General features: G+C 50.1%; 1 protein-coding gene and 1 long non-coding RNA gene across 13 annotated transcripts in view; one reads left to right on the top strand and one right to left on the bottom strand.

Moving 5' to 3' along the window:
* Positions 1–387: 387 nt before the first annotated feature.
* On the bottom strand, positions 388–8,694 carry LINC01750 (long intergenic non-protein coding RNA 1750). The gene is made up of 2 exons (NR_145438.1): positions 8,043–8,694; positions 388–2,803 (listed from the first exon to the last, which is right to left on the bottom strand). It is a non-coding gene; the product is annotated as a long intergenic non-protein coding RNA 1750 (long non-coding RNA).
* Positions 9,562–21,149, top strand: part of KCND3 (potassium voltage-gated channel subfamily D member 3) — a 219,007-nt gene continuing 207,419 nt past the window's right edge. For 7 of the 12 annotated variants that reach the window (NM_001378970.1, NM_001378969.1, XM_011541427.4 and 4 more), the window contains exons 1-2: positions 9,562–9,725; positions 16,432–17,609. In NM_001378970.1, coding sequence (NP_001365899.1) covers positions 16,504–17,609 — 1,106 coding nt within the window. In that variant the 5' untranslated portion in view covers positions 9,562–9,725; positions 16,432–16,503. Of the gene's footprint in view, positions 9,726–10,055; positions 10,483–16,431; positions 17,610–21,149 lie in introns of those variants that run through there. The other 5 variants (XM_006710629.5, XM_017001245.3, NM_172198.3 and 2 more) reach the window with 3 other exon arrangements.

Genomic DNA, 21,149 nt, shown 5'->3' with positions numbered 1-21,149 from the left:
TTCTCTGTCTGCACATTCCAATGTGGTAGCCATTAGCTACATAAGACTACTGCACACTTGAAATGTGAGCCTGCAATTAAGAAACTGAATTTTTAACTTTATTTTAATTAATTTAAACTTTAATTTAAACAGCCCCATGTGGCTAGTGGCTATCATATTAGCACAAATCTAAGATGCGAGATCTCCTTGAAGACAGTCCTATCACATGCTGAGCATGTAGGTGATTCTTATAAGCAATTCTTATTTGTTGTGCCTGGAGGCAGTGTGGTTTAGGGGAAGACTTTGGACACTGGCATAGTCAGATTGAGGGTTTAAATCCCATCTATGCCACTGTATTGGTCAGGGTAGGCATTACTACTTGAACATACATCACCCACATTTCAGCAGTTTCACATAATAAAAATTTATTTATTTATTTATTTTGCGTATTTCACAGTTCAAAGGAAGTTGGGAGGGACCTCTACTTCACATAGTCACCCAGGGACCCAAGTTCCTTCCTTCTTGTGGCTCTGTCCCCTTCTAAGCCCTTGAAATTTTTTCCATTCAGCCAGTGGATGGAGAAAGAAAGAACATGCTAAATTGCCCTAGATGTTTTTCATGGGACTGGCCTATATTACTTTGGCTAGAACTTAGTCAGATGACCAAACCTAACTGCAAGAGAACCTGGGAAAGTAATCTAACTGTATCTACAGAAAAGAGGAACTGAATTTGATTGGCATCTAGTCTGTCTCTGCCACAAGTAACTACTAGCTGGGTGAGCTTAGGTCTTAGTTTTCTTATCTGTAAAATGGAACTAACATGAGAATTGGTGAAAGCTAAATGAAGTAAAGTATGTGGAAAATGATGAATCCAGTTGGGATTCATGATCATGACTCTTTTCTCTCAGCTTGGACCTCATCACAGCTATTGAGCATCATCCCTGCTGACAAAAAAAAAAAAAAAAAAAAAAAAAAGCTTGCACACAGTGGCACCTCTACCAGACATTTTATGGGTTCCTTTTTCTACCCAAGGAAAAGGACAAACTTTGGATAACATTCAGTAAACCCTCAAGCTTGCCTAACCCAGAGACCACTCCTGGGCATGGATGCAGGTACTGGCCAAATGTTCTTAGCATCATGGAGGGAGGGAAGAATGACTTCTCTTCTAGAAAGATGGATTTTGTTGGCCATAACAAAGGTGCAATCACAGAAATATTTACAGATGAAATTATATTTGGAATTTGTTTCAAAATTATGGTGGGGGAGTGTGTGAGTAGGGTACAGATGAAAAATGATTGGCCATGAGTTGGTAACTTTCAAAGCTAAATGACAAGTTCATGGGGGTATATTATACAATTCTTTCATCTTTTGTATGTTTGAAATTTTCCATGATAACAAATTTAGTTATTTCCCTTTTTTCTTTCTTTACCTTGCAGTCTCAGCACAAAGGACATAATAAAGAATTCTGTAAGAGCCATGAGGACTCATCTTTAATGAGGATTTTGTGGAGAAGTCCAGAAGCCTCTTATGATTTTGCAGTGTGGGGACAATAGCTGGACTGTCTTTCTTTACTTGTTGATTCACCAAAGCAATTAATGACTTTGTAGCTGAGTCTCCTACAAACCCAGTGAGGCAAAAACACCCAACTCTAGCCTTGAGCTCTGAAGAAAAAAATGCACTTGAGTATAAGTATCATAGATGTGCAATGCTGGAAAGGCCTTGGTGCTCATGAGCTATGTCTCTTTACCAAGAAGAGGTTGGTATATAAAATTAGTGTCCAAGTTTCCCTATTACAACACTTTTGCAAAAGCTGGAGACTTGATTTTCCAGCTGCAGAATTCAAACACGGACCACCTTGTTGCTTATAATGCATCAATAGTACCAGTTTTATGAATGGGCAGGACTCTGTGGAATTGGGAAGAGTCTCCTGGGACCCCAAACTTTCCCCATTACTTTGATGAATGCTTGAAGTACCATCCACTCTATTTCACTGCCTTGGCTTAAGGCTCTGACCTACTAAAATGTGAATACTATATCTCTGGATGAGATGGTCACTTACATATCAGTTCAAATAATTTTATCAGTTCTTGCTAATGAGGAGGAAATGGAGAGAAATGGGCTGAAGCTCAAGGCTGCAGAAATGGGGTTGCACAGAATGGAGAGAGGAGCCAGTGGGGTGAGGGGAGTGTCTAGGGACAAACTTCTGTGATTTCACACATTTACCAAGGTTCAGTAGAAACAATAATTACATAGAAAGAACTCAGGTGATCTGTCTAAACTACACAATACTGCTTGTAAAGCTGTACCCAGGATTTAAAAGAGCTAGTTTCAGATACATGTAGACTCAGTGACAATATTATAACAGCCAACATTTTTATTTATTATTGTATATGAAACATGTTGTTTGCATTATCTAGCTCAGTCCTCATGAACCTTATGAGTTGATGCCATCATTATAACCCATTTTGCTAGGTGAGGGAACTGAGCATCAGAGAAGAAAAGTGGTTTGCCCAAATTCACACAGCTGGTGAATGACAGAGCCAAGACTTGAAGCCAGGTCTATCCAGAGCTCATGTTCTCACCACTAAGCCTCCACTGTCTCAGACCTGCAATGTGCTTTTCATGCAAGTTTATACTTAAAGTTCAGCAGCCTTTGGTCTTGGCATCTTCCTGAGCCAAGCCATAGTTTGGCTAAAACATTTTTGACAGGTCCCCATTTTGGCTTTTATGGTGAGCCGTCAGCTTCCAGCAATCAGGAACATTTTCAATGGACCATGCCCTGGCTGTGCCCAAGGAGGTGATATTCTGGATATGTGATTGACATTCTGCCAGAAAGGAAAGAAAAGAGTTATCTGAAAACCAATCTGGTTCAAGAAAAGAACACTGGCAAGGTCTCTGCAGGCAGCATCGACTGAGGCTCACTTTGTAGATACGAAAAGACTTTCCTTTCCTCCCTACTGGAGGAGTGGGGCTTTGGGGCTCTTTTCATGTAGGATCAGCTGAAAATGGAACACCCTCATTCTTCTTTCTGTCCTCATGCTAGTGCTTAAGATCAATCAGATAGGACCTGGAGACCAACCAGTTGACAAATTAATCACATATTCCCAGTTACATACAATCAAGGGAGCCACGTAAATTAAAGTTAAAATAAATTATTAATGCAAATGTATTGAACATCTGCAATGTCCCGAGCACTGAGCTAGGATTCAGAAATGGCTGACAACGGTCCTTGCCATAAACAGCTTGAAGTCCAGAGAGGGATACCACTATGCAGAAAACAAGGCCATACAGGTCATAAGAACCATATTTGAGGTATGCAGGAAGGACTGTGAAAATCCAAAGTGGGGAACGACTAGTTCATCCTGGGATGTGGGGGAGGACTTTACCAACACTTACATGACTTTTTTCTTGGGTATTTAAGGTTTGAGGCTGAGTGGAAGTTTGCTAGGAAGACAAAGGAAATAGGAAGTGGTGGAAGGCATTTCTGGAAGAGGGTGCAGCATGTACAAAGACATGAAGATATGAGATTTTGCAGGTAATGAAGAAAAGATCTACATGCTAGAAAGGAAGATGTGAGTAAGTAGAAGAAGGTAAGGCTGGAAAGAAAGTAGAGGATATACCATGATAGGAAGAGGGTTTTTTAGGGGAAACAATTGATTGCAGAAGGATTAAGGCCACTGGTGAGATGAAGCATAGAGGTGCCTATGTACAAAGATGGAGATGCACAGTGGATCATTACTGGGAACAGAAGAGTGCAGGAAGAAATCATAAGCATCTGAGTGAACTTGAAACCATGGACTTGCATAAACTCTCCAGGGAAAAGGGCAGAGAGAGAAGCAAAGAAGGCCAAGGACAGAGACCTGGGAAACATCAGCACACAAGCAAAAGAAACCACCAGCAGAAAACAAGTCATTGCACCTAAGAGTTATATCCCCAGCCTCCACTCACCCTTCTCCAGATTTTCTAGCAAGAAACTAAACAAATGATTAGGATTTCCCCCAAACTCCCAGTACCTATCTCTCCTTCTCATATTTGCTTTCCTCCTTCTCTTCCCTCCTCTTCCTTCCCTAGCATCTCCCTCCAAGGGAGGTCTTGATGAGCAGAAAACCCTCCACCTGGACTTTGCTTTCCCCAGGAGCTGCCTTGGTTGGAGCAGGGGTCAGGCTGGCAGAAGGTCCACTGGAAGGGCTGACTTTCAGAAGCTCCACTGGAGCCCAGCAAGTTGGATGGCTTCTCATTTGCCATAACTGGTCTAAGCATATTGATCAATGAGATGACCATCCAGGCCACTACTGGCCTCCAAAATGGAGTTAGTGCTGCAGGAAGCAAGAGTTCTCCACCCTCAGAAAGGGACTAGAAGCATCTGATAGTTGTGAGCATTCAGCCATTGGGGCCACCAATGTTGGACAGTGCCTCCTGGCCTGGAAGCTGGACAACCTGGGCTGATACCCGGTAGGCAAAGCCCTGGCCTTCTGAGACTGGGGCAAAGCTCGTCAGCATTTACACCACCACCTCCTACCCCACCTTGGGAAACTAGAGAAAGCCAAGCCACCCCTAAGCTTTGGAATTCCTCAGGCAGACATCACCCTGAAGAAAAATAGGGTGCATCCCCACCCTGGACATACTGAGCCTCCACCCCCGTATTAGTCCAGGTTTATTTGGCTCATGGTTTCTGCAGGCTGTACAAACACGGCACTAGCATCTGCTTCTGGTGAGGTCTCAGGAAGCTTTTATTCATGGCGGGTGGGAAAGGGAAGCAGATGTGTCACATGGCAAGGGAGAGCAAGAGAGAGAGGAAGGAGGTGCCAGACACATTACAACAACCAGCTCTCACGTGAACTAATAGAGCAGGAACTCACTCATTACCATGGGGAGGGCACCAAGACATGCATGAGGGATATGCCCCCATAACCTGAACACCTCCCACTAGGCCCACCTCCAACATTGGGGGTTGCATTTTAACATGAGATTTGGAGGGGACAAATATTCAAACTATGTCAACCCCACACATAACTTATGGAGGCCAAATACAGGAGAGGTCAAGAGTGTCCTCTTAGGATAGCCCCTCTATCTGACTGAGGAGGATACTCTACTTTCAGAAGCGGGGAAACCAAGGATCCTGGGATAGCGGCAAAAGGGAGAGGTCAGAGTTCCAATCCAGCTATGCAGCCTCACATCCTTCTGGAGTGTCCCTCTCCACCAGCTACCTTCAGGTTCTCTATCAATAAAATGATGGTAATATCTACAGTGCAGGATTATGGAAAATCTAGCAAGGAGCCCAACATATGGTGGCTCCTCAGCTTACAGCTGATATGCTAAGCCAAGCATTTGCAACGTTGCTTTCATCCCTTGGACAGCCTCCTGTCCTTCAGAGCTCCTCTTCCTGCTAGCAGCTTCCTGCGGGCCCATCGAGGTGAAATAAACTCTAATAGCAACTGAATAAAAGCTCACATGCCCAGCTGTGGGAATAAGGGATGGAACGCAATGGCAGTATGAAAGTGAGAGTACCCCAAACCCAAGGGGAGCCTTGGGGAGAATGAGGTGCCACCCTCCTGAGTTTCTCGCTGGAGCTCACTTTCAAAAGGCCTTGCTTTCAGTGGTTAAATAAGGGAGGCTGGGACCACATGGATAGTGAGGGGCCCGGGACTTACTCTTCAGCATAAAATCGGCTCCCAAGAAATGTCCCATGGGCTTCTGACATGGTCAAGCCCCTTCCTCATCTCTATCCCTAGACTCTTCCTCTATTCCTTCAACAGAAATCTCCCTTTTCTGGGACTTACAGAATTAACTATCTCAGCAAGGTGAACTTGACTGCCTGTGGGCTGTGGCCTGCCATTTTTATTGTTACATGCATGGGTGGGTGAGTGACTATATGTGTCTCTGTGTACAATCCGGCAGTTCTATCTTCCTCCTCAGACAGATTTCTTTGCACCTCCTGCCTGCACCACTCCTACCTTGAACAACAACAACCAACAATTATATTGTACTTCCCATGTTCCAGGCACGATTCTAAGCACTTTATCTGTGTTACTTCATTTAATTTTCACAACCCTATAAAGTAGATAGTATTATTTATTGCCATTTGAGAGAGGAAGAAATCATGGCACAGAGGGATTAAGTACCTTCCACATGATCACACAGCTAATTAACAGCAGACGCAGGTTCAAACCCAGGCAGTCTCACCTCAAAGTCTGTACTTTTTACTTCTAAGGTACATAGCACCCTAAATGTAGAAAGGCTGTAACCCTCAGAGGTACAGCCCACCCCCAAAATTCTTGCCCCAGCATGGGGCAGATTGCTAAAATGGGACAGCTATAAGCAGTGAGGGTGGGAGTGACCCTTAAGGACATTCTCAGGCATATGAGGCATAGCTTCAAAGAGAGAGCCTGAACAGAGCAGCCCTGGGAAACAGCCACGCAGACACACTAGCCTGGCACGTCAGCAAAGAAGCAGCCGACTTTGAGCTGGGCTCCCAATTACCCTCACAGTCCACACGGTGACAAGCTTTGCAAATACCGGCCACAGCCATGAGACTAAAGAAGAATCCTCATGTGTGCACAGCTTGGAAAGGACACACACACAGAGAAAGAATAGTCATCCATAGGAGCACCGTCTTTAAATAGAAAAGATAGCCTGAAATACACCCTGAGCTCGCGGGTGCTCACACACACAGACACACACGGCCAGGGCCAGAGGAGTGACTGAACAAATGCCTCAGCTGTGCTGGTGGCAACGGGAGGAAATCTAGTGCCCTGGCAGCTCCTGACTTTCAGTTCCTATTTAAAATGTCTGAATTGGGAGCATCGACAAGCTCCCAAATTAGCTTTTTAAATAGAAGCTGAGAGTTAAAGGAAAAGCGGCCGTGTCATGGGGGAAAAGCAAGTGAAAATCCCGGCCAGGCCGGGACCAGAGGCAGAGGGGGAAGGTGAGGACAGGCAGTGCTGGAAAGATGCAATAGATGACTGGGGACTGGTGGGAGGGACAGCATCTCCTGGGCAGCAGGACTACTCCAGCTGCCCGAATCAAGGGGCCTCCTTTCTCCCCATCGCTTGCTCTCATTTTGCAGATCACCTGGTTGTAGGAAGGACTGGTAAACAAAACCCACACTGGCCTAGACTAGAAATCCCAGTCTTTCCTATTTTCCCTAGATGGTTAAGACAGAAAGGAGAGAATAGTCTACAGCTACCACACTTAAGCAATGAGTTACGAGCTTATGAGGAATGAGGGGGCAGGTGTCTGGACCAGTGTCTGGTCTTCAAACGGAGCTTACGAGTCTCAGGAGGCCACAACTGTCCCATTAGTTGACTTTCTGAGGAGAAATGATGTGCCCAACTGTCTCCTGAAGCCTCCAAACACTGAGGGGGGCACTCAACCCCTGAGCTGCCCCCAAGATGCTAAACAACAGTGAGAATGTACAGGAGTTCAAACCTGGGCAGAAATAAAATATGGGTTTCACTTTCCCGAATTGAACATGGGATGGAGTACTGAAGGAAAGTGCCCCTGCCTCCTGAGTAGTGACCACCCAGGACCTGAGGCACTTTATCCCAGGGGTCAGAGCAACTGAGGAGTGCAGTTGCCAGAAAATTAGCCCTTCCCCAGAGGAAAGGGAGGAGGGAGGTGGGAGCAGCGCCAGGGCCTTCCCCGAATTCTTCCCCTGTCTGCCAGGGAGTGGCAGTGTTGTTAATCATTATTACTGTATGCAAATCCCACACAGCTCCGGGACTCCTGGCAAACGCTAATGGAGCCCACGCCCACCTCCTGAAGGGCCAATTGTGTACCTTTCAAACTGACAGACTGAAGGGGGCTCCGGAAAAAGTAAGAGTGAGTGAATGAGGGACTCCAAGGTGCCAGGGGCCACAAGGGCCCAGACCACAATTACCGACTTCCACTCCTTCATCTGGAAGAGGGCTAGGGGTTCTCACAAGCCAGAAGCCCCGTTCCGGATTCAGGGAGGTCCTTTTCCAGCCCTGGGTCTACAATTGTCCTAGGGTCTAGAACACCCTCGCAGTCTAGAACACCCCAGAGGTCACAACGCACTTTGCATTTCTCTGCCTCGGCACCCACCTCTCCACACCCAGAAATGTGATCTCTCAAGCCAAGCGTTCCCCGTCCCTGCTGGGGCACGGAGCTGCCTCGCTTCCGGAGCGCCAGGCCGAGATCCAGGATTCCGGGCACCGAGGCTGGAGACACCGGGAAAGCCGGAGCCGCGGGTCCGCCCAGCGGCGGGGACTGCGCCCTTTGCGCGCCGCCGCCCTGAGGGTGGGAATCTGGGCCGGACACCTGGCCCTGTGGGCACATGCTGACCTTCCCACTCCCCATCCTGGGTCGACGAGGCACGGAGCAGTGGGGACCCATGGGCTTCAGGGAGGGACTGAGGGGCTGGGCGGGCTCCAGTTGTAAGGGGACCGGCTCGGGTGAGAGTTCACGCTCCCAAGTCCAGACTCCCGGTCTAGGTAGTGGGTAGACGTGGCGGGAGAGGAGGGCGAATCTCGACCTTCTGATGGTGCCTTCGTCCTCCGAGAGGAGAGCGGCTCATAGGTGGGGTTAGAGGCAGTGTGTCCCCCGGGTACCTCTTCAGCCTCTGCACTCGGAGCTGAGAGCCGGGGGCCAGCCGCAAAGATTGCGCGGTAGGGGGCCCCACCTTGCCAGGTCGCCGGGCTTGGTCTCAAGCAGGTGCTGCTGCCCTGTGGACAGTCAGCGAGAAATAGACACACAGCTAGGTGCACACATACCCCACGCGCGCACACGCCGGCCCTCCCTGCCACCTCTCCGTGGGTCCCCAGCCACACACGCCCCCGAACTTACGCTCACGCCGTACTCCCTGCTCCTCCCCCACCCCCAAACCCAGCTCACCTTGCCACGCTCACCCCCGTGCCCACCCTCGCTGGCACACGCGCTCACACCCGCGTCGGTACACTCCGCCACCTCCAGGCACACCCTAGGATTCCTCCACTCGCCCGGGGAGACGCACTAGGCTCTGCCTCGTCTCCCCACCCCCCGCTCACGCGCGCGCCCCTCTCCACACACACAGACACACACACACGCACTCACACTCATACACACCCTCGCGCGCGGAGTCACTCCCCCTCGCACGCCCTCGCCCTGGGCACCCTCCCGCGGCGAGACTCCGGGTCCTCCTCCTCTCTTCCTCCACTGCCTGGCGGCTCGGCGCTCTCCGGCCCGGCCTGGGGCCGCTGGGCCCGCGGGGATCGGAGGGGAGCCGAGGGCGCAGCCTTGCCGCCTCCCCCGGACTCTCCTCTCCTCCCCGCCCCGCCTGCGCCGCGCCCCCACCACCTCCCCCCCTCGGGAAAGGGACCTCGGGAGAGGCAGCCCGTGGCCGGCCGGGCTCCGCTCGGCGCGGCGCCGGCAGCGGCGGGGGAAGGGAGAGAGCGAGGGAGCCCGCGAGCCCGCGAGCGGAGCGGCGAGGCGGGGAGGGGACGCGCTGCCGAGCCGGGGCTGGAGCGGCGGAGGCTGCGGCAGCGGCGGCGGCGGCAGTGGCGGCGGCAGTGGCGGCGGCAGTGGCGGCGGGGGAGGGAGGGCCCCACGGACGGACGGACGCACGAACCGACCGAGCGAGGGAGGCAGCGAGCGAGACTGCGCTGGCGAGGAGGAGCCGCGCGAGCGGCGGCTGCTGGGCGCTTCCCCGCGCTGCTGGGCGCTCGGCGCCTCCGCGGCCCCGGCTCCCGGCCGCAGCTTCCTCGCGCGCGCGGGGCGCCGGGCGCGGGGCCCGGGCTGGCTTCGCGGAAGGTAAGAGGGACGCGACCGAGCCTTCTGGAGCCAGGAAGTGCGAGGAGCGCTGCTCCCACGCCTGTTGCTCCGGCTGCCCACGCGGCACCCTCCCACTCCCGCGCCCGGGTGGGTGGGCGCTGGGGCGCCGGAAGGATTGGGGGTGGGGCCCGTGCCGTGGGGGAGCAGACAGCCGGCCCGGGGGCGTCGGTTCCCTCGGGCTGTGGAGCCACCTCCGGGCAGCCAGGCGCTGGGGTTCGGGGGTGGGGTGTGAACCTCTGCCCTCTTTCCATTGGCCTGTCTTCCCTCGGCGGGTGCCAGAGACAGGTGGCGAAGGCTTGCTCCGTCCCCGCTCTTGGTGAGGGGACAAGGAGAGAAATGGCTGAAAGTGGAAACCCGGAGCGGTTTGGGGCGCTTCGCAAAGTTCTCCAGCTCGGCGAGCCGGCGGTGTGTCTACCAGAGGCTGGGGGCCAGTCCATCTGGTCCTGCCCGACGCCACTTCCACCCCGCGAGCTCTGGGAAAGGTCTCTACGTGACGCCAAGGGCCGTCGCGGCCCCGGGGAGAGGGATCGAAAGACTCACTCTGCGAGGTGTTTACACTGGAGGTGGGGGACGGGAAGGGACTGGGCAAAGTTACCTGGACTCAACTAAATTCCTGCGCTTGCTTAGTGTTGACATTTGAATAGGATCCGAGATGTTCTGCTTTTATCCCGGGCAGCCCTGATATGTCAGCAACAGGCTGAGGTTCCAGACCTGAAATCGCACTGCAAGAAAAAGGGTCCGTATTTCTTAAGAGAGAGCGTCTGAACTTTCTCGGGGTCCTAGGCACAATGCGATCTGTTTGTAAGACCAGGCATGCGTTGCTGTATTTTGCATGAATGTACGTGATGGTCAAATGTATGCCTTGTTTACCTTACTTCGAGGGAGCCTGTATGTTTACTGTCTGTAGAAAGGGCTCCTGGGTGTCCACGAATTCAATACAAAGCATGTGTACATTTCCCCATGTGGACCTGTTGGCACACAGGAAGGGAACTGATGTGTTTATTTTTTCCTCGTCTCTACTTGAATGCAACAAAATGCAAGTATACAAGGGACCCCCCAGAGAAAGAGGTTAGTAGCTTGTTCCCTTTTGCTCTTGAGGAGGCTGGAGAAAAAGAGTTCAGGAAAGTGCCCTGGCTAGCCTAGGAGTGGCACCGTTGGAGAAGAGGATCTGTGCGTGTGTCCCAAGCCTGTCCCCCAAGGATCCCCAGCTTGGTTCACCTTGTCAGTTTCATGCTTTGCCTACCAAAATCCTGTGAACACAGGAGAAGCCCTCCGGGTCATGGGCACCTTCCTCTGCCCCCAGACCAGCCCCATTCTGAGCTAGGGGATGTGATGTGAGATTGTGGAAAGTAAGTTTCCAGAGGCTCTCCACTGAGGTCATTGAAGGACAGACCTTGGTGACATGACTTTTTTTGCTGCCTTATGCCTGTACTCAGCTAGGTGTCAAACCCCAGGACAAGCTGTCTGGTCACTCCACCCCCTTTTGGCCTTTTACCTCCAAAATAGAAGCTGTTTAATGGAGTAACTGACTTTTTACAGCAGGGGAAAATGTTTTCCTTTGCCAGGATTTGTCACCTTTTTCATTTCAGAGCTTACCTGTTTTGAATGCCTCTTTTCCAGCCTCCCCCCACCCCCTATCTTTCCCACTGTCAAACTCTTCTGCCAAAAACAAAAATAGCTTCAGATTTTTCATTTGTAAGGCGTCCACGTCCTAGTAAAACCTTGGCATTTGAGGCATGTGCAGTGCCATTGGCTGGAAATGGGGCCGCACTGTTGTGCCTGTTGCAGGAATTCATACCCAGGCCAGCTCCGGAAGGTGTTGGCTCCTGTCAGGGGGTGAATGCTGCTGTATGAGCTGTGGAGAAGGCCTACTTGAGTGGGTCATTCCTGCAGTGTTGTGGGGTGGGTATGGCCAGTGTGGCCTTGGATATGGTATCTGGTGGGACACTTGTCCTCCCCTTTCACCTCCCAACCCCCACACACAGAGAAAGTAACAATGGGGTAATTGCTCCTTTTTTGGTATGTTTTACCAGGGGGACAGGGGCTGAGCCTCTGGAGACAGCCTGGTGCTTGCTTGGCCTTCTTTAGGAAGATTGCCCTGGATTCACGCATGGGGTAAACATTTGGCTGTGGGACCAGAAGCTTTTATGGTCCCAAGATAGGGAGGGGTTAATTTTTCCTTCCCCTGAGCTCTCAATTATTCATCTGAAAGCAGTTTGTAAAGGACTGGTGGTCCTTGGAGATTGGCTTAGGGTAGAGAGGAGAAGGTGATGGGACTCAGCTTGGCAGGGGCAGGTACCTGGCATTAAAGCTTGGGAATCAGGGTAGAGCAGGACTAGGAGAATGAAAGGGGAAGGGCATCACCCTTTCAGGGGGCAGAACTGTGTGTCTGGCCACACAGGGTTCCACAGGGTGCCTCTGATTCAGTGATCTCTTACTTTTTGCCTCTTGAACCCCCTCAAGATTCTGCCTCTCTGAGCTTTATTCTGGGATAAAACAGGATATTAAGGGTCAAAGATCCAGGGCTCAGAGTCTGGGAGCTTGGTCTCCTTTACTCTCTAGGAAGGTGGCCAGGGGTTCTGTGGGTGAACTAGGCCTTGGATTGCCCCTGGTTTCCAAGTGACACAGGTTGTGTGCCCTGTGCTGAGCACCAGCCTCAGCAGGAATTCCCAGAGCTCCCTTTGCTACCTTGAGGCTCAGGCTAACTCCATCCTCACAGCAGTAAGCCCAGATGCTCTACTTCCTTCTTTGCATGGGTGATTGTCATTAAGAGGTCTCAATGAGACCTAAGCTATAGACTTGATGTCCTGGATCCAGTGGAATCAGGGATCATTTGAGCCAAAGGGTCTTTTGTCATGTTCCTGTCCAATTCTTCTCATTTTACAGAGGAAGACTCTGAGGCCCAGAGGGTGATCATGGCTTGCTTTCACAAATTGAGGATGGGACTGAAACTGGAATTGCAAGGCCTCATGAGCCCTTGCTCATTGCTGCCTGGGGAAGACAGGGAAAGGAATCTCTGCATCTTGCTGTCTTCTCTTGGGAACATCAGTATTGGGCAACACCTAGATCAGGAAAGCCATTTGGCAGTGAGGTGATCAATGGTCTGTTTGAAAATTGTCAGCTCCCATATACACAGAACTTAGCCACTTTGAAAGAGACTTCTGAGCTTCCTTCTCCTTACCTGTAACCTTTGGGCAGAAAAGCCTTTATCATAGGATTTTAGTGGGAATAAATTAAATGTTGTGTGTAAAAGTGTCTCAGACAGTGTCCAGAGCATTGTCAGTGTTCAATAAATGTTAACCAACTCTGAATTGGAACAGAGTTGAACTTGTGAGCTTGCTTCTCAAACATCCCTTGCCCCTTAGAAATAAATCCTAGCTAAGTGCATGCTGAGGAACTACTAAGTCTCCTAATCCTAAACAAAGTATAGTTAGAAGGGTAAATTTCTTCTAGAAAGAAATACAATGCAGGATGTGTTCCTGACTCTTCTATCAGTAGCATGTGGATTACCCACTGCCATGCATGAACGACCTCCATTCTTTCCTCAGTTCCTCAGTTCCTCAGTTCCAGTAATCAGCTCATCAGGCCTGTGCTGTTTTTCTGTTCTCTGAGCAGTGACGCTTACGGGAAATGTCATTGTCATTCCTATTGTCTTCTGCAGCATCTGACTCAACCTCCCTTTATTAGGGAGAGAAGGGACCTGTGACAATTTCCTTTAGCATGCAGATGGGGAAACTGAGGCAGAGATTGGCTTCTTTAGAAAACTCGACTGAGTGAGTCAGAGGCAGATACTTGAATTGGATTCTTCTGATTCAGATCTGTCTTCAGATTTTACTCTGGAGAAAGAACGCTCACCCTTGGCAACCCCTGAAATATATTAGCAAGGCATAGAGTAAAGTTGATGGGAAAAAAAATGGCACATATAAAACCAGGGGTCCCAGCTCGAGCACCTACTGATGCAGTTCACTATGCTGCCTCCTGGGTTGTGATACAAAAGTGGAGGCATCTCGGCCTTTGCCCGAAAGAGCTTAGTGTGGGATAGGGAAAGTTGGGAAGTGGTCTGGCTGTACTCTTGAACTCCACATTGAGACTGCCTGGGTTTAATGGCGCCGCCTACTTATTACATCCTTTAGACAATTATTACAACTCCTTATGCTTCATCTTTCTTTTGTGGGCAAAACATGGCCTACAGTGGTGTCTACCCCTCAGGGTTGTCGGTGGGATCTCTTGAGACGCTCCATGTAAGTGTGTGGTACTGTGCCTGGCACACCATCAGCCCTCAGCAGACTGCCTGAGATGGAATCCCTATTCTGCCACTTTGGGGTTGTCAGACTGCTATGTCTCAGTAAGCTTTAGCTTTCCTTATCTATGAAATGGGGGACACAACAGACTCTTCTTCCTAGGGTTGCTGTGAGGGTTAAATGAGATAATCCATGGGAGACAGTGTAATGCCTTGCATAGCGTAAGTGCTCAATTGTTAGTCATTACTATTAATTAAGATGTATATAAAGTGTGTGTAATCCTAGCTGCGGGGTGATAGGTGCTAGGGAAGAGGGGCAAACAACGAGTCAAGAGCCCAAAGGAAGAAGAGAATCTCATAGTGAGGAGAGGAGGAAGCATCACAGAGAGAGTGATGAATAGGTAGGATTCTAATAGGAGGGGTCCAGGGGAAGGATATTCTCATGAGAGGGAGGAGTGGTCCAGAGGCAGACCTCCCCAGGGTCTGTCCATGAACAGGTCTTGGTCTTATTGCTGGATACTAGGATGGGTGCCTGGGCCATTGGGCTGGAGTATGAAGCTAGGATCTATTTGTGGGAATTCTGGAATGCCAGGCCAAGGAGTTTGGACTTTATTTTGTAGGTCGTGGGGTAAAATACAATCAGAACCTTGCTTTAGGGAGATAACACTGAGCAGAATGGATTTCAGGGGAATAGGAGAAACCGGGTGGGGTGTGAGAGTGAGAGACAAGAAGGCCCGTGGGAAGGAGGCCAGAGGGAGTTTGGGCCTTCATGAGGGCAGTAAGAACTATTGCCTATTATTTGGCAACTCTTTAGAGAAAAATGGTCAAGGTGACAGCCCTGCAGTTAGGGACGTCATGAAGAAAAGGCGAACAGCAGCTTTTTACAAGGAGGCAGGTTCTGTTTAAACCTGTCCACTTCAGAGGCATCTGAGCAGAAAAGTCCAGTGGCAGCTCAGGAGTTTGAGGGAGGTAGAGATCTGAAAAAACTCAAAGAGTTGGGAGTCAGGAGAAGGTGAAGCAGGTTTATAGGGAGAGATGAAGATCGACTCCCATTACAAGTCTTCGTGTAACAGAAAAAATTTTCCAAGACTCACCTCTTCCTCGTTTATTTAAACTTAGAATCACAGCAGCTGAATTCCAGAGGGCCCAAATAATTCCAAGTTAGGATTTGTTCTGTGTGATCAGTTTAGGATTAGTGGAGATGAGTGTGTCAACCCCAAACAATTTCCAATTTCTGTTACGTGTGTTTCCGTGTCACCACATGCCTTCCCACAGATGGTATACATTTGGGGACTGCAGAGTGATTTCACTATCATCTTTAAAAAGCCAGATTTGGGAAGGTAAATCTGCTTCCCAAAGCCAAATATAATTCTCCGTGCCATTGCTCCCTCTGTCCACACAGGTAATGGGGAAGTGCTTATGCAGTGTGGTTTAGAGAGGTGAAGGGACAGGGTAGCCTGGCTCTGGAAAAATCTCTGAGGGTGGAGTGGGGACCAGGTGAGAGAGGCTGGTATGGGAAGGAGTGTTGTTATATAACCTGAGGGAGTTATGGATGGTGGGCAGATGGAGATGGGAGGAGAGGAATCTAGGGACGGCAGTGAGCGCGGATCGGCTTCTTCTGGGGAGGGAGAGAGACGATGCATGGAAGTCAGGTGAACCAAGAAGCCAAGACGCCCTTCACAGAGCAGGGAAAGAGACCCTGCCCAGCCTCACAACCCTTCCCACGTCTTTCCATCATGGCTCTGAGGGTCTGAGGGGAAAAATTTGATACTAGGTTGCTAGGGCAAGGAGTAGGGGCTAAGTGTCCCTCAGAGTAGCACTTTGCCAGGGAGAGCCTTCTCCATGGGAGTTGGGGACAGAACCTCACCAATCCTGGTGGTCACCTGCCATCTCAGAGAATTTTCTGGACTTGGGCAGCCCCAGCCTCTTCCTCACTAGGGAGGAGTAGAAAGAATTGTTTACCTGATCTCACTCATCTACACCCCGTTCCTGATTACCCCAGTGGGTGAAAGAGTGAAATAAAAATTAGCATGTTTATCCCACTTTTAAATTCATTTAATGAGAACTCATCTACCCTCTCCCAATTTAAATTGGTAATAACGCCATAACCTTTCAGAGCTGATTATTACCCACGTCTTGCCAGATCTTCCTGCTAAAGAGGCCTTCCCTCCAAATGCTCTTGAGCCCTCTTGGAGCTTGACGATTTGTCAGGCAGTCAGCAACATCTGGCGATCCCACCCTGCCGAGCTCCAGGAGCTAGGTGTTCTCCCAGTGTCTGGATGGCAAAGAATCAAGTCCCCTCTCTGTGGTGGGGATTTCAGTTTTATTAATCTGCCCTGGAGACTTTGGCCGTTTCACTCACCAGTGATCCTTTCCTGTGTCCCATTTCTTACCTGCCAGTCGATATGGACTCACCGCTTCTCTCTCTCCCCTCCTGTCTCCCAGGGTTTGCTGAACTAACTCCAAGCTGGTGTGCCTAGCGTCCGCGCGGCTGCCGGCCCAAGAGCTGGAGTCACCATGGCGGCCGGAGTTGCGGCCTGGCTGCCTTTTGCCCGGGCTGCGGCCATCGGGTGGATGCCGGTGGCCAACTGCCCCATGCCCCTGGCCCCGGCCGACAAGAACAAGCGGCAGGATGAGCTGATTGTCCTCAACGTGAGTGGGCGGAGGTTCCAGACCTGGAGGACCACGCTGGAGCGCTACCCGGACACCCTGCTGGGCAGCACGGAGAAGGAGTTCTTCTTCAACGAGGACACCAAGGAGTACTTCTTCGACCGGGACCCCGAGGTGTTCCGCTGCGTGCTCAACTTCTACCGCACGGGGAAGCTGCACTACCCGCGCTACGAGTGCATCTCTGCCTACGACGACGAGCTGGCCTTCTACGGCATCCTCCCGGAGATCATCGGGGACTGCTGCTACGAGGAGTACAAGGACCGCAAGAGGGAGAACGCCGAGCGGCTCATGGACGACAACGACTCGGAGAACAACCAGGAGTCCATGCCCTCGCTCAGCTTCCGCCAGACCATGTGGCGGGCCTTCGAGAACCCCCACACCAGCACGCTGGCCCTGGTCTTCTACTACGTGACTGGCTTCTTCATCGCTGTCTCGGTCATCACCAACGTGGTGGAGACGGTGCCGTGCGGCACGGTCCCGGGCAGCAAGGAGCTGCCGTGCGGGGAGCGCTACTCGGTGGCCTTCTTCTGCCTGGACACGGCGTGCGTCATGATCTTCACCGTGGAGTACCTCCTGCGGCTCTTCGCGGCTCCCAGCCGCTACCGCTTCATCCGCAGCGTCATGAGCATCATCGACGTGGTGGCCATCATGCCCTACTACATCGGTCTGGTCATGACCAACAACGAGGACGTGTCCGGCGCCTTCGTCACGCTCCGGGTCTTCCGCGTCTTCAGGATCTTCAAGTTTTCCCGCCACTCCCAGGGCCTGCGGATCCTGGGCTACACACTGAAGAGCTGTGCCTCCGAACTGGGCTTTCTTCTCTTCTCCCTCACCATGGCCATCATCATCTTTGCCACTGTGATGTTTTATGCCGAGAAGGGCTCCTCGGCCAGCAAGTTCACAAGCATCCCTGCCTCGTTTTGGTACACCATTGTCACCATGACCACACTGGGGTAAGTCAGCGCTGGTGGATGAAACCAGGACGGAGGTTGGAGGGCAGCTGGATGACCTCTGAAACCTTGGATGGTGTCACCATGGGTAGAGGAGGAGGGAGTCCCTTACCCAAGTGTTGGGGGCAGGGGAAGTTGCTCTATCCGAAGGGTAAAGCCCATGAGTCATCTGTTTGGGGGTGGTAGCTTGCTGGGAATTGAGTTTTCTTTTTGAGGTCGGGGCATGTGTTTTATAGAGCTAAGAAAATTAAGTCACCAATTCTTTTTTCAGCCATGCCTTGTGTGCGTGTGAAGTCTCGGGGTGAGGTGATGTCTGCATTTGTATATGCATTTGCGCATATGGGGCAGCGTGGGGAGAAGGTCAGGGCAGTTGTTGGGGAGGGAGGAGACTGTTGAGAAGTTCGGAGGGTTCAGATGTCCATTACCAGAAGACACCAAGAGCACTCTTTTTGGATCCTTTCTGCATTTTTTCTTTGTAGTATATTTTGCAGGCCATTTTCCCATTTGTTATGCTTTTCTCCTGTGCTGCCACAGACACTCAAGCGTTCAGTAGCTCTGAGCAGACTTTCTCTAAGTGACTCTGAACCTGGATTTTTCGCAGTAAGGCACGTGGTTTATTCTTTCTTTCTAAAGCAGTATCAGTCTTGCTTTTTAGTCTGAGTCAGTGATTGAATGACCTGGGTGACTGTGAGATGGTCTGAATGGATCATGTGGTCAGACACAGAAGCAGCAATATCATCAGAAGGAGGGACAGGTGCTCGGTGAGGTCATGGTAATTCCGTCTCTCCGAGGTCTCCTCTCCAGCTGAGGTCACAGAAATGTATTCATGATGCTGGGATGTGAAGCTTTCCATCAGAGGAAGGGGGCTCAGGAAGGAGATTACAGTCTTCACCCTAGCAGGATTATAGCCAATAAAGGTGGCTTTATGGAAACATAGATTTCTTAGGGGTTTCTGCCTCAGCTATTAGAAACCATGGAGCCTAATGCAAAATCCCTCCACAATTCATATACTGGGTCTATATTTGCTTAGGCTAGGAAGCGTTATATTGCTGATGGAGAATTCATGAAGCTTTTTATTTTGTCTTTGACAGTGTGGTTGGTGGTGTCCTGGTGATTTGATTTTTTTTTTTCCTGGCCAAAACCCAGAGGCAATAGTGTTGGTTTTTCCATAGTGCTGCGTATGCTTATTGGGAATGACTGAGCAGGTGACGAGACCTTTTAAAATGATTACATTTGTCATTCTGCCACACACAAGAGGGAGGGAGTAGCAAGGGGAAGAGCAAGGGTGTCACCATCCATTTGTGAAGGCCACATTTGATTGGGGCATTCCCTTTACTTCTTATCTGTCTGACAGAACCACCCTGCCCCTTCCTCCCACTCCAACCCACACACACACACACACACACACACACACACACACTCTTCAAATGGCTGCTCACCCAGAGTGGGTAAGAATGTTTGGTCATTTGACCTTGTTTCTCTTGGCTCAGGTGGCAGATGTGGGCTTTTTGGCACAGTGGGGTATTTTGGAGATAAAATGGACTGGAGAGCTTGTGCTGTCAAGAGGTCGTCTTTATCCCTTTTAGGCTGACCCTAGCCATCCCTTCACCTTCCTGAAGGGGACCTCACCCATGGCCAGACACCTCACTTCCACTTCTAGTCAAGCTCCTGATGTGGCTCTGACTGCCCAGTGCCCTCAGATGCCCCTTGATGGGACTCATGACATCAGAGAGATCCTTCAGGATAGCCATGTGGAGGAAAACAGGCATGGTGATAGCCACCTACTCATTACTTTTTATTAGTAGTATAACAGCATATGATTGTCTACTATATGTCAGCAGTGTACTAAGAACTTTGCATATATTATCTCTTTAAGTTTTTACAACAGCCCTGCAAGGTTGGAAAAAATTCTGTACCCTATAAAGATGCAGAAGCTGAGGCTCAGAGAGACTATATAAACTTCCATAGTCACGTAGCTGATAAGGAGCAGAACTAATTTTCAAATACCAATCTGGCTGCTCCAATGCCCTTTCTCCTTTCACCCTACTACTCATTCCCATGCCATCAGGGCCCCTAGGTAGAAATCAGACCTTCAGGGTTATTACTTTTTTATTATGGCCTCAGGGTGTGATATTCTCTTCTAGTCATATTGCCAGTCAAGAAAGCATCAGCCCAATGAGTACTATATGCCAGGCACTGTACCAGACACACAGAGATTTTAAAAATAAAACATTTCCTTCTGAGCAGTTTAAATACTGACTTAGAAGTTAATGGTGATTAATCCATGTTTTAATGCTCTGGGGAAACCGCTGACTTCTTTTGTCATTCACCCTGTAGATTAAGGGGCAAGTCCAGCATCAAAGTGGAGTATCTTGGTCTCATTTTTACTTTCTTGGGAGGGAACTGATAGATTCTGCTGGAGGGTGAAAGGAAAGGTGCCTGCACTAGGGAGAAGCATGCTTTCCCTGAACGTGGACCTGGTGGGTTCCCTCACCCCACATCTGACAATGAACAAGTTTGTTTTACCTTCCCCATGCATTTAAATGTCTAGCTTCTGGGAGGAGAACCAAATGGGCAAGAAAGGAAACCTTTAGTAGTGTCTTCCTTAAACTCAGATAAGTAATGAGAAAGCAACCTTTTTCTTTCCCTCTTTCCTAGCTAGTGTAGGTCATTGCTGGGTCAGGCTACTTTGACTTTGACCTGAGTTGGCAGTTGACACCATTACCAGGCTCGTTGCTTGATTATACATAGCAAGCACTTGGCAAAATGCTTTTTAGTGGATGAGCCAGTGTGAATGGAGTGCCTCTTCCATTTGCTTGACCTGATACTATTCTCAGTCCCTTCTAGACCTACTTGTCCTCTCTAGAAGGTAGACCTAAGATTTCAGCCTGCACAGCCTGCAGCCCCCTCAGATATGTGTATTCTGCCCCAGCCCTGGTCCCCCAGGAGGGAGGTGAGCAGCCTTTACTTGGTGTATGATCTATTCCCTGGGCTGCCCTGCAGTACTGTGGAGATCTTCTTGTCTTTACTGGAGGTTTCACTGACGTGACCTTGGAAACTTTTCCCTCTTCCATGGCTAGTTTCTGTCCTGACCACATTCATGGTTAGTTGTAGCCTTGTTCAACCATTCCAGAAAGCCCATTTTTTCCTTTACACTGGCATTTGAGTCCAAGTGGCCATGGAATACCAAGGACCAATATCTTGCCATCATTCAGTTGCTTCTAACAGCTCACAGCAGATATCTACCTCTTCCTTTCTCCAGACACTCCCTTCCCTGGTCCTTCCCTGAGTTCCTATTTCCAGTCTGGAGCGGGAATGTCTCCAGCTCTTCTGCAGAGCAGGGCCGACTGATGCACAGAGAGCTGATACGTGGAGTAAAGGCATTCACTCTTCCTGCTCTGGTTGCCCTCTCTGCCTGCTTTCCCAGCACCTCGTTGATGAGTTACTCAGGTGTCCTCCAGGGAGGGATCTCCTGGAACCAATTATTACCGTTTAGTTAATATCTCAGAATACCTTAAGCACACAAGAACAATAACAGCCCAG

This window comes from Homo sapiens, chromosome 1 (genome assembly GCF_000001405.40).
Source record: "Homo sapiens chromosome 1, GRCh38.p14 Primary Assembly".
Taxonomy (NCBI): Eukaryota; Metazoa; Chordata; class Mammalia; order Primates; family Hominidae; genus Homo; species Homo sapiens.
Note: the sequence above shows the minus strand (reverse complement) of the source record. Positions and strands in the feature narration are given on the sequence as shown.